The sequence below is a fragment of the Homo sapiens genome, chromosome 10 (genome assembly GCF_000001405.40).
Source record: "Homo sapiens chromosome 10, GRCh38.p14 Primary Assembly".
Taxonomy (NCBI): domain Eukaryota; kingdom Metazoa; phylum Chordata; class Mammalia; order Primates; family Hominidae; genus Homo; species Homo sapiens.
Genome location: NC_000010.11, coordinates 803,601 through 815,750, shown reverse-complemented (window position 1 = coordinate 815,750; position 12,150 = coordinate 803,601). Strand labels below are relative to the sequence as shown.

The 12,150-nt window shown below is 49.8% G+C and overlaps 1 protein-coding gene across 17 annotated transcripts in view, besides 5 other annotated features; it reads left to right on the top strand.

The window, feature by feature from the left end:
* The window catches only part of LARP4B (La ribonucleoprotein 4B), a 181,428-nt gene extending 172,591 nt beyond the window's left edge, over positions 1 to 8,837 (top strand). For 8 of the 17 annotated variants that reach the window (XM_047424894.1, XM_047424893.1, NM_001351277.2 and 5 more), the window contains 3 exons: positions 681 to 805; positions 901 to 1,114; positions 2,538 to 8,837. In XM_047424894.1, the coding sequence (XP_047280850.1) occupies positions 681 to 805; positions 901 to 1,114; positions 2,538 to 2,825 (627 nt within the window). In that variant the 3' untranslated portion in view covers positions 2,826 to 8,837. Of the gene's footprint in view, positions 1 to 680; positions 806 to 900; positions 1,115 to 2,494 lie in introns of all 17 variants that reach the window. The other 9 variants (XM_047424897.1, XM_047424896.1, XM_017015988.2 and 6 more) reach the window with 4 other exon arrangements.
* Positions 538 to 1,038: an enhancer, noted in NCBI's record as "H3K4me1 hESC enhancer chr10:860653-861153 (GRCh37/hg19 assembly coordinates)". NCBI's record gives its function as "activates a minimal SCP1, AML or CMV promoter by ChIP-STARR-seq in naive H9 embryonic stem cells {active_cell/tissue: H9 hESC(naive)}" and the evidence as "EXISTENCE:reporter gene assay evidence [ECO:0000049][PMID:30033119]".
* Positions 1,039 to 1,539: an enhancer, noted in NCBI's record as "H3K4me1 hESC enhancer chr10:860152-860652 (GRCh37/hg19 assembly coordinates)". NCBI's record gives its function as "activates a minimal SCP1, AML or CMV promoter by ChIP-STARR-seq in naive H9 embryonic stem cells {active_cell/tissue: H9 hESC(naive)}" and the evidence as "EXISTENCE:reporter gene assay evidence [ECO:0000049][PMID:30033119]".
* Positions 5,456 to 5,956: an enhancer, noted in NCBI's record as "H3K4me1 hESC enhancer chr10:855735-856235 (GRCh37/hg19 assembly coordinates)". NCBI's record gives its function as "activates a minimal SCP1, AML or CMV promoter by ChIP-STARR-seq in primed H9 embryonic stem cells {active_cell/tissue: H9 hESC(primed)}" and the evidence as "EXISTENCE:reporter gene assay evidence [ECO:0000049][PMID:30033119]".
* Positions 5,957 to 6,457: an enhancer, noted in NCBI's record as "H3K4me1 hESC enhancer chr10:855234-855734 (GRCh37/hg19 assembly coordinates)". NCBI's record gives its function as "activates a minimal SCP1, AML or CMV promoter by ChIP-STARR-seq in primed H9 embryonic stem cells {active_cell/tissue: H9 hESC(primed)}" and the evidence as "EXISTENCE:reporter gene assay evidence [ECO:0000049][PMID:30033119]".
* Positions 6,194 to 6,399: a silencer, noted in NCBI's record as "fragment chr10:855292-855497 (GRCh37/hg19 assembly coordinates)". NCBI's record gives its function as "represses an EF-1alpha promoter that drives an FKBP-Casp9 reporter gene in an ReSE screen in K562 erythroleukemia cells {active_cell/tissue: K562}" and the evidence as "EXISTENCE:reporter gene assay evidence [ECO:0000049][PMID:32094911]".
* Positions 8,838 to 12,150: the final 3,313 nt, after the last annotated feature.

Genomic DNA, 12,150 nt, shown 5'->3' with positions numbered 1-12,150 from the left:
TTGCATGACAAGTGTATCATCACATGCCATATGTATAAGATCAAGCACACATGAAATAGCCCCTGCACAGGGGTCGCTGGCTGGAGTAAGGAGGGAGTAAGTTTCACTCCGTCCTTTGCTTCCTGGCCTTGGGCAAATTAACTTAGAGGTATTGGGCCTCAGTTTCCTCACCTGTTGAGATGGGGGCATTCGCACACCTGCTTCCTGGGGTTGTGAATTCAGGGAGGGCTGGGAGCTCACATTTATATGGGTGTGGAGGCGCCGATTGTTTTTTCTCAGCGGTGTGAATGAGTTGTGTTGGACTGTGTTAGGATTCGACACTCAGCAGATATGCATGTGGTGTTGTGCCGTGCCGTGCTGGGCCCAAAGTGCCAGGTGGGTGAGATGTGTTTGATGCCTGTTCAGTTAAGAAATAAGCTTGTAGATCATCATTGCGGGAGAGGAGATAAGGGCCTGTGATGTAAGAACAGTGGGGCATTTGCCGAGAAAGAGAAGGGTGGGCGATCTGTGGGGCAGAGGATAGTCCTGGGCTCTGTGACATTTTTGCTGGAGAAGACCCTCTTCCCCTATGTCCTTGTGCTGCTCTCCCAAGGCTGTTCACGGGTGGGGTGAACGGGCACTGGTACCAGCTCCGCTTAGTGCCGGCAGGACTCTGATGAACACTCTTGACCCTGTTTCAGACCCTCAGTGCAGACGCAAGCGTGAACACCCTTCCTGTAGTGGTCTCCAGAGAGCCCTCGGTGCCGGCTTCTTGTGCTGTATCAGCAACGTACGAGCGATCCCCCTCCCCAGCTCATTTACCCGAGTGAGTATTGGTGTTCTTCCAGCGCCTTGGTGTTGACTGACTTGAATGGCCTGTGATGTTGCATGAGATTCAAATATCGGGTGGCATTTTTACAGTGATCCCAAGGTGGCGGAGAAACAGAGGGAAACCCACAGTGTGGACAGACTTCCTTCCGCCCTCACTGCGACCGCGTGTAAATCGGTGCAGGTGAACGGAGCCGCCACGGTACGTACCTCGTGCCTGCCTTCCTGCACGACAGCCGCGAGGCTCTGGTGTGAACAGACGCTGCGCACTCCTGCACCTGCTCGTTTTTTAATCACATCTAATTTGGTGGGTTTTTATTTGCGTCTGTCTGTGTTGTGTTTTCTGTACAAAATACCTTTAATATTTGCTAATAATTTTCCACTAACTACTCTAGTTCTTTCTCAGACCACCATGTAGTCCTTTTATTTCAGTGTTGGTCAATAGAGGTTTCTTGAGTAGTAACAAGACCCCAGCTCCTGTTTCTCCATAGACTTTAGGATCATTTCAGCATTTCGCGCGTGTGTGTATGTTTGCGTGCGTGCGCGCGCATCGTGTGTCTGATGAAGAGACAGGAAGAGCAAGATGGTGGCCCCACCAGCCTCCAACCCCTGTGGGCCCAGCAGGCCTGAACCCCAGCGACTTCCTTTCTGCTGTTTTCCCTACTGGGTGAACTGTGGCCTCTCTTACTCTGAGTTGTGGCCTCTGTAGTTTGATCTTGGGGGAGCCTTTTCCTTGAATTTGGGAGTTTAATCCCTTACTGTCCCCTGGGCTGAGTCTAAAAAAGGATTTTTTATAGGTTAAAATTAATAATTTTAATAATAAATAATAATAATAATAAAAGAGGCCAGGTGCTGTGGCTCACGCCTGTAATCCCAGCACTTTGGGAGGCCGAGGTAGGCAGATCATGCGGTCAGGAGATCCAGACAGTCCTGAACAACATGGTGAAACCCTGTCTCTACTGAAAATACAAAAAATTAGCTGGGTTTGGTGGTGGGCACCTGTAGTCCCAGCTACTCAGGAGGCTGAGGCAGGAGAATCACTTGAACCCGGAAGGCAGAGGTTGCAGTGAGCTGAGATTGCACTGCTGCACTCCAGCCTGTGCGACAGAGTGAGACTGTGTCTCAAAAAAAAAAAAAAAAAAGTTATTAAGGGAAATATTTTACTTTTCTGTTATTTAGTCTTTATGCTTCCACTTACCTGAAAACCCTATTACACATTTCTTGAAGATTTTAGCTGTCTTCATCATTCTTAGATATTTCCAGTCCTTTGTAGTTTGAAATGTGCAAAACATTTTTATTTAAAGACTGTTTTTGGAGTTTGCCTTTCAGGGTTGAGTACCGTGTGAGGGTCCATTGCCCACCGTGGGCACCTGGGACACCCTTCTGTTGTCCTGAGCTGGCGGAGCCAGTGTGGGCAGCATCCGGACTCTTCCTAGGCTTCCGCATTGCCCAAGCAGGCATAGGGCTGGGTAGGGATGGTGTTGAGTCAGCACTCTTCTTCGTCATGCCTTTTCTAATTTTATCCATTACTACAGTAGCACAGAGGGAGTGTTCTGCTGCAGGGGAAACTAAATCATTAGATTTTATGAACTTTTTAAAAGTTAAAAACACTAGTGAAGATGGAAACTTAGTTACAGTTGAAAACTCTTTTATCTTAAGTGAACTTGATTTCCTGTCTTGTCCCTAGAGACACCATTTCACACAGGTAACCCAGGATTGTCTGTTTCCAGGAATTGCGAAAGCCCAGCTACGCAGAGATTTGTCAGAGAACGAGTAAAGAGCCTCCTTCTTCCCCATTGCAACCCCAAAAAGAACAAAAGCCAAACACTGTTGGTTGTGGGAAGGAGGAAAAGAAGCTGGCAGAGCCCGCAGAGAGATACCGGGAGCCCCCAGCCCTCAAGTCCACACCTGGAGCCCCCAGAGACCAGAGGCGGCCGGCGGGGGGCCGGCCCTCGCCCTCGGCCATGGGGAAGCGTCTCAGCCGAGAGCAGAGCACTCCCCCCAAGTCTCCTCAGTGAAAACCGTACGTCTGGGAGGGGTCGCAGAGCGCTGTGTTAACCACAAACGAGACACTCTCCCACTCAGTGCGAGGGCGAGCCGCTGGTTAGGAGCTTGCAGTGTCTGAGGCCTGTGGGATCCTCAAGTTGGTTTTCTTCTGTGAGTTGGATTCTCCCCCTCTTGAAAAAAAATCGATTTTTCAGGATTTAATTAATACAAACCTTATTTTAGGTTGGTGCTTAACTGGAGGTGATGCATAAGTCTGATTTTTTTTTCCAAGATAGAAAAAGCATTTATCCTAACAAATTGGTATTTTTTATTAAGCCTCCATGTGGCTCTGAATGCAAGCTATATATAGTGAGTTTTTCTAAATTAAGGGAACTCTGCTTTTTTTTTTTTTTTTTAAGTAACTGGTCTGTAAGTGCATATCTCTAGAACGTCCCCGCAGATGAATGAGGGCCAGTGGCCTTGGCAGAGGCAGGTGTGGCCTCGTAGAGGCAGTGCTGGCCGCGCCAGGGCATCAGTGCTGATGTGGGAGCTGTGCTTCCACCTAAGCCGTTGGTAGGGGACTGTGGCATTTAAGAATGTAGAGAGCGCATCCTTTTTGATCTCCTGGGCGGAGTGAACCTGCAGGGGCCACCCCAGAAACCTTGGTTCTGATGCACTGCAAGCAAGTAACCAGCTTCTCACTCCAGTTTCAAGTGGCTATTATGTAATATAAATTCAAAGCACATTGTGAATAGAACCTACATGAAAACATACACTTTGTTGCCCACTGACATGTTACCAGAAGTTGTACCATGATGTTGTTTTGACCCCTGTGAGCTGATGGCCCCGGCCCTGCTCTGTGCACATTTCTGTCCGTGTTCCCCAGCACTCTGGTTGGAGAGAGTCCACATCTTCAGCTCCGTGTGGACATCTCCCTGTACCTCTGCATCAGCACATGGATTTAAGAGTTATGTAATCGTGAGAGAATGGTGTTTGTGGTTTTTCCCCCTCTTTGGCTGGTGGAGGATAAAGTTCCTGCTCTTTTACCTCCAAGACGAGGGCCTCATTGATTCACTTCCAGAAGTGCTGCACTTCTGAAGAACAAGGATGCACTAAAGTTAGCAAGTTTATAATAAAGTTAAATATAAATTATTTTGTTTTAAAATGCCTCAAATTTTTCTTTATTCTAAGCAGCAAACATTAAAATAAGAATATTTCCTGCTAAATGTAACCATACACTTTATTCCACAAAATGTTATTTAACAAGACTGAGGGTTTTTTTTAAGAAAAAATTATTTCCATCCAATATTTAAAGACTTGAATTTTATTTAAACTTGAAAATGACTTTGCCTTAACTTTTGTATAAGACAGCTTAGAGTCCATGGAGCCCGGCCCTGGGTTGGCGTGAGTGGGTCAGAGTTACTCAGTTACTGCGTGGATCTCCTGTCGCTAGTTTTACTGAGTAAGCATACTGTAGTACAAGAGCTAGTAGTAGTTTTTGTAATATACCTTAAAGATCTTCAACAGTTGATCTTTTTTCAGAATGTTGGAAAATCCTGTAAATGCAAATAGTCAATACTGTATTAAATACGTGCACTTGGAGTGTGCTTCGCTTGTACAGTTGTAAATAATCAGAACATATGAAAAAGGTACCCTACAGAGAAAATTCTGATACAGATTATTGATATATTATAAATGTTGCTGTTGAGCGGGATGTAGATAAACTAAATGTTGTGGTTTGAATATTATTTTGATTTGTTGAGATTTTCTTTTTTCTCTTACATCGGTGTGTTGAACTGATTCTGCCTCTTTGCTGCAAAAGGGAATTGGAAAGTCTTATTAAAAGCCTCCAGATGTTTTCATACTCTTTTAAAATGTATGTAAATGCATACTAATCATATCTAATGTGAAAGAGTTTTAAAGTATATAGAGAGCAAAAACTGGCAGGATCGTAAGTGAAGGTGACTAGTAATCTAATTTAAATCACCTGCAGCTAAGCATGATTGACCCTGCCAGAGGAAAACATGCCTATTTGACCATTTCCTTTAAAGCAGTTGCCATTATTCAAATACAGAGAAATAGCCACAGGGCTAGTGTTTTTCAAATGCATTTTAAAGAACATGGGGATTTTTTTTTGTAGTTGTCAGTTCACTGACCAAAAAAAAAAAAAAAATCAGAAATAATTGATCTGTGAAACCCAAACTCTCAATACTCAGAAAGCTGGGAGGCAACCTCGAGGCCTGGGCCTACGAGCTGCATCTTCGCTACGGAAGGGCCAGGGCGCCATCAGCCATTCCCAAAACACAAGGCCTGCCCGTCCGCCAGTGAGTCCTTGGTTTTTAATAATGAGAAGTCCTTTCCCCCAAGGTGTGAGCATTGCAGCGCAGTGTGTGTGTGTGGTTAGAGCCAGCTTAGTCCTTCACTTTGTCGACCGAAGTGGGAGCTCAACAGCTGCATGAGGAGGGCAGCGCGTGCATTAGCCAGTCGCCACTGGAGGGCTCTGCTGCCCTCCGGTCAATACACTGTAGTTACTGCCTAGCCAGCAGCAGTCTTCTGCATCAAGAACTGAAACGTTGCTCGGAGGTGATTTTTATAGCATCCTTTTTAATTAAAGGTGAAATACAGATTGCTATATAATGTCTGAAAAAACCTGATACTACTTCAAGAGTTTCTGCTCAGAAGAAAATGAGAGTTATCATAATAGGAAGCTGTGGCGGTCCATGCCAACTGTGCTGTGTCACATACAGCGATGAGAGTGGCTTTCATACTTTTTTTTTTTTTAAGTTAACACCCTCCTTTACCCCCAGCAGTATCTCAGGTTATAGAATCAGAGATGCAGCAGTGACAAATGGCATTTTAACTTGTAAAATCGTGTGATGATGCTTATCATTTTGAAATAGAAGAATAAAAACCTGGTCCCGTTTCACCAGACATGAATTTCAAGTGGAGTCGTCGTTCTCTGAGAGTGAGTGTCTTGACATTTTCACCCAGGCCCTCCTGTCATCACATCACCGGCTGTCACTGGCGGGTGGCCGTAAACGTCCTGCGTTGCTATATTAGGATCTCTGCAGTTCAGGCTTCAAAACCAGTTCAGTGTATCCGGGCGACGGGTAGTGGTGGTGCATGCCTGTCTGTGTGCCCCGCTGGCGAGCTGTAGTTGCGGCTTGCGTGCCTCGCGGCCCACTACAGGGCTGCAGACAATCGAGGCGAGGGCGCTGGCCGCCAGCAGCTCACAGCGCGGGGGTCATGTGGTCGCTCCTCGAGGGTTTCGTTTTTGTTCTGCTTCATTAAGACTGGAATCAAGCTTACATGTAAACTATTGGTAATTTAAGTTTCCTTTTGTGTCATTCAGTGTAAAACTGTCTAATTTGAAAAAAAATGTAGGTTATGAAAATAAAGATTTAGGCACTGTTCAATTTTTCTTTTGATTTTTTTTAAATTAAAATTTCTTCAATAATGCATCTTTTCTAAACATAGTTTTTTGTCTGTTCCCATAAGTGCATGAGAAAGAAACACGGGCCTCATATATGATTGGATCCTAAAGCCTTCTCACCTACGTGGGGGCTGGCTGTGGCACACGGGGCTCACCCTTTGTGTTTTAGTGGTTCAGAGTGAGCATTAACATCAGATGCTCATGCGGAGACAGCCATTACTGTGACTGCCAAGATGTACTGCAAAAATACATGTTCCTGTATCAGGACTTTGATTTTGTTAAAATGGCACTCTCTCCAAAGCTGTGTCCATGAAGCTGTTTGGAGCTAACGTTGGGTCTTCATGGTGATGGACTCATCCTTAGGCAGCAGTGATGTCTGCACTAGGAAGAGGCTGGCGGGAGGCGGGGCCCCTCCTGTGCCAGGCACCGAGTGGATGGGGGACTGATTAACATGTTGCTGCCTTCCTCCTCTGTGCATTGCCTTTTCATGTCGTCTTCCCATTTTTACTCTTTTTCTGATGGAATTAATATTCTTGATCTGTTAAGGCTATTAATCCTTTGTCATATATGTTACAAATATTTTCTTTCAATCTACCATTTGTCTTAACTCTTTATTTAGAATAGTATCTTTTACGGTGTTTAATTATTGTGTAGTAAAATCTATCAATCTTCTCCTTTGTTGAGTGTCTTGGACTTGCTTAAGAAGCCTTTCCCTACTCCAGGGTCATAAAGTTAATAGTGTGTGTGTATGTGTGCGTGTGTGTGTGTGTGTGCGTGCACACGCACACACACACACACACGCTTTTAATCCAGCTGGGCCTAATCGTGTGTGTGGTGTGCGTGCTTAGGCAGGAACCCAGTTTTACTTTATGCCATGTGGAAAGTTTCTTTTTCCAGTATCACCAGTGAGTTCACTGTCTCTCCACTGGTCTGCAGTGCTGCTTCTGTTACTTGCAGACTTCCCACGTGTGCATGGATCTCCACCTGGGGTCTCTAGGGTCTCTATTCTACACTGCCTATTTCCCTTTCTGTCCTAACACCATAGCATTTAACTCACCCGTCATCCTGTGTTGCTGAGAATTTCCTTCATAGAACTCATCAAAGTATGATTAACTGTGCTCCCTGAGGGCAGGAATTATGCCATCTGGATCACCAGCCTCTCCCTTGTCCTTAGCACGCCATCTGCAAATTAGCAGATACTCGGTAAATGTGTATTAACTCGAAGTATATTTTGTGTCTTCTCTGTGCACAGCACTGCCCTGGGAAGAACTAGGATGAGGTATTGACTTGCTGTTGCCACATAACAAACCCTGCCAGAACTCCCTGGATGGAAGTGACCACCGTGTATCTGTGGATTGTCTGCAGGGCTCTGCTGGGGTCAGCAGGTCCCACAAGAGAGCCAGGGCTCGGTCTCCTCATGGCTGTCAGAGGTTTACGTATTCCGCCTCCACCCACCAAAGTCTGAAGTTGTTGTATTCCATTCCTTGCTATATCCACATCTTTTAATAATGCTAAAATCCCGTGTTTCTCTAAAGCATTGGATTGAACCAACTGAAGAAGGACCACGTGTGTTGCTGGGCCTGCTTGGGCACAAGCCGTTTCCGATCCAAGTCAACTGCTGGTCTGCTTAGACGAAGGTGTGTGGGTGTCTCCACCACGGAGAGGAGGGACAGCAGGTGAGACCATAGGCCAGGAAGGAAGGGCACAGCCTAAGCGTGCAGTGGCTTAGCCAGAGACCCTCGTGCACCAGCCTTCAGGTGCTTATGGAACTTATGTCAGCCCAGGCCATATCCAAGTGTGTGATGTCTCGGAGCATATATGCCAGGCCAGCCGGAGAGGCTTAGCCCTGCCCTGGTGGAGCTGGAGGGCCGCAGGGCCGCCCGGTGGGGTCAGGAGGTTGTGAAGAGGATCCTGATACAGGCTGGGCCTCCCTGCAGGCGTGAGCCCCGGAGCACGGGGTGAGCAGCTCCACCCAGAGGGGCTTGCAGGACCAAGCTGGGACAGCAACCACCAGGCCCTGGGGCAGATCAGTGAGCGTCCAGGAGATGCAGATGCAGAAGACAGCCAAATTCATTCACCTCTGCGTGGGCCTGTGAGGGCCCACAGAGATGCATTTTCATTCACGACCAGGATTTCCTCGGCCGGAGCAGCCGCTTTTCCCAGCCGAAGCTCACTGTGTTTACTACATAGGATGTGAGTGTATAGAAAGACTCTCTCTAACGTTAGCTACGCGTGCAGAAATGTGGGGCGCTTACAAGTGTGGGCAGCCGCAGCCTGTTCCTCACCCCTGTCCTAACGGGACATACTCCACGCATGCACATTTAGGATCACCGTGTCTTCTCGTTGGACTGATCTGTCATTAGGACCCTGGACCCAAGTAATTGTCTTTGCTCTGAAGTTTTGACAGTAACAAAGGCATTCCAGCTCTTTCTTTTTCACTCCTGTCGGTGTAACGTGCCGTTTTTCATCCTTTGACTTTTAGCCCGCCTGTGCCCTGTCTGAAGGGAGTTGTCTGTGGACAGCACGGAGTGGTGGGTGTTTGTAATCCACTCTGCCAGCCTCAGTCTTCTAACTGTTGCGTATGGACCAATTACATCTGCCCTTTCTCTTCCCTGCTGCTCTGTTTCTTTTTTCTCTTTGCCTTCCTGGAGATTGTAATTTGCCAATTCTCAGTCCTCTCGTGCTCTCAGCTCCCAGTTGACCTTCTCCTGCTGCTGCGCCTCCCGTTTCCTGAGGCCAGTGGGGGCAGTGCCCTCTTCAGTGTCTGCCCTTTGCTACTGGGTAGTTTCTTCCAGGCCCACACCTTTCTACTTCGTGCAATGCCGCACTTTCCATGCCAGCTGAAATCCATCAGCCTGGAAGCACAGAGGCCGCAGCCTGGGCCCGGGGGCAGGTGCAATGTACTGTCCCCTGCAGAGGAAGGCAGAGCTCCATGCTGCTGTCGGGCCGGGCCACCGTGGTGGCAGCGTCCTTGGCAGGCAGCAGGAGTGTGCGGCAGCTGGGAGTGTTGCAGCCAGACATCTTAACCTCGGGGTGGGGGTGGGGAGACGAGTTTCTTTTTGTGTGGCTTTGGGAATAAGGAAACAAGTTGCCAGTAAATTGCACATCTTACTGGCTAGATTTAGGATCCAAACGCCGTCACGGGGAAGGGGCTTTCAGGTCAGTGAGGTCCATCCTGGGCTCAGGAGTGGGGCCACCTCCCCCAAGGTGCATGGTGACTGGAGAGAGGGGTCCCTGAACAAAATTGGGGCCATTAAGAAAGAAGGGGTAACTAATACGTCCACTCAGTACATTCGAGCTCCTCAGCCCCAGCCTGCTCAGCCTCCAGCCCATGTCTCACTGTGTCCTTGGCGTGGCCACCTGCAGTCAGTCCACATTTCAGATGGGACCACCCACCCTCCGGCCTGGATCCTCCTGCTCCTCACCGGAACCCCATCTCCACGGGCAGCCCCGACGCAGACAGGCAAGCCCAAATCCTGGGCCAGTCTTGGTTCTTCCCCAGATCCTTCCGAGAGTCCAGCCCGGCCATCTCGTCGCCAGTCTCCCTGCCCCGTTCTCCACCTAGCCCGAGGGTTCTTTTGTGGTAGTGAGCGCGCCCTGTTCCCTTGCTTTAAACGCTCCAATGGTTTCCTGCAGGAAGAAATAAGGTTTAGACGCGCGCCTGCAAGTCACTCCCCAACCCACCTGCAACTTCATCCCTGACCCCACACTCTCTGCCCATGCTGCCTGGGACCTGCTGGCCCCTTCCCGTGGAATTTGTTTCTCCCTTCCCAGAGATGCCTGGCGCCCTCTCCGACAGCCGCCTGTCCCCGGCTGCTTCTGCAGCACTGAGCACCGTTTGTAGTCGTCTAATTGGTCTACTTCTGGCGTGAGCCCCTTGGGCCTGGCACCCGTGAATGCTCTTCCCCTGGGTACCTGCAGCACCCCCTGGGCAGGGGACGCTTCCGGGTCCATTCCTCGCCCGGTGTCCAGACGCTGTGGACAGGTGCCAGAGGCAGCTCCGCAGAGGGCGCTCCGCAGAGGCCGCCAGGCCGCGTCCACAGCTCAGCCAGTGCAGGTTCAAGTCCCGGCTTGCGCGCCCCTCCCATCCCTGCGTGGGGCGGCCTCACCACGCACACCTGCCGCCGTCTGTGTCGGCCTCTCCCTCCATCCCTGCTTGCGCCCTGGATCCCCGTCCGCCTTTTTCCGCGCAGCAGCCCGGGGGTCCTTTGCATCCCCGCTCAAAAGCAGGGAGGCACCCACGCACCTCGCTCAGAGCAGAGACCAGAATCCAGGCGGCTGGCCGGAGGTTGGGCCCCGCGCCCTCGGCGTCCCCTGCACCCTCCAGGCCCCCCACGCGCCCTCGACCTCCAGCCGCCCCTCCGAGGCTCTGGAGCTGCCTCATAGGAAGTAAACCTAGAGGGAAAGGTCAGGAGGGATGGGAAGAGCCCCCGGCCACCTGGGAGACGGGGGAGGGCGGGAAAGAAACCATCAACATAGAGCAAGCCCAGGGTGGAGCTCACGTGGGTTCGTGGTGTTGACACTGCAAGCTGGAGAGGCGGGGAGAGAGGAGCCCGGGAGAGGAGAGGCAGGGTTCCTCTTTTAGCCAGAGGAGCCCAAAGTGACAGGAGGACGTGGCCGCAGCCAGGGTTCAGGGGCTCCAGCCACGCCGCACGCCGGGGATGTCACCAACACCCACTTAGGCCATGGGAAGCCATCAGCTTCCAGATTCTGAACACAGAGTTTTATGGTACCCTTGACAAGAGCAGTTGTAAAGAAGCATTTAAGTAAGCATTTTCCCCGGGTGAGGAGAATCGGCACAGCTTGAGGTGTGAGACACTGGTACTTCTGTGCAAAACCCGCCCTGTGGACAGTGGGTTTGTGGTATCCTAAGGCTGGGAAGGCATCTCGGAGGTTTTCTCCTTGCTGCAAAAACGCCTGTCACTGCCCAGGATACATATTTTGACCTCATCCTTCCTATTAGAAACTCAGGCGGTCCCGCCCCGTTGGCAGCCAGAGACCTCAGGGTGGCGCCTGGTGGAGGGACCTGCTGGGGAGGTTACCCTTCCTCAGGGCACCCACCATCCCCGGCGTAGGTCTACAGGGTCCTCCCTGAGGAGCCAGGGCCGGGCTCATCTGTGTCACATCATGCCTGCTGCTCTGCTGTCGCACTGGAGCGGCAGAGGCAGAGCCCGCCCCACCCTGCAGCTCCGTGTGACCCCGGCTGTGACCTCCCGGGTGGGTGGCCCTGCCGCAGGAGAGCCACTTTCAGAGATGCCCTGAGTGATCGTCACCAGCTGCATCCTGCAAACTTCATCTTGCTGTCCCTGTGGCTTGGAGAGCCCAGTCAGCTTTGCTTGTAAACATACATGTTACTTACAGTTGTATTTGGTCATGCCAGATGAAATTACTGTTTTTAGAGGTCAAAGTGAGCAAGTAGCAACTTTATATGGTTCCAGCTAATATTTATGTTACATTTATGTTCTGATGAAACACTTTTGTGCTACTGACCCATTTTTGTGGATGACTGCAGAAAATATACTGAAACTTAATGATGACAATGAAAACCTCAAACCTAAATGTAAAATAAAAAACATGAAAAAATGGTGGCAGAGCTCACCATCTTAAATGCTTTAAGAACATAGTATTTCTGTAAAAATCATGATTTTTACATTTCAAGTTTGTTAAATTTTTTGCTTCTTCCTTCTAAACTACAGGCGGCTCACCCACCAACCCTGTGTTCACTCCCACTGGCCACGAATGGGAGGGAAGGTGGCGTGGCCCCTCTGCACAGGACTGGCCCTCCCTCCCAGCAGGGCTGAGCCTGCAGAGGGCACAGAGTGAGCTGGGGGGTGCCCTGCCAGTGACTCAAGTTGGGAGGGGCCCTGCGTGGCAGAGTCTAAGGGGCCACCTGTCCTAGAAACATGCACATCTCGTGGGCTGCT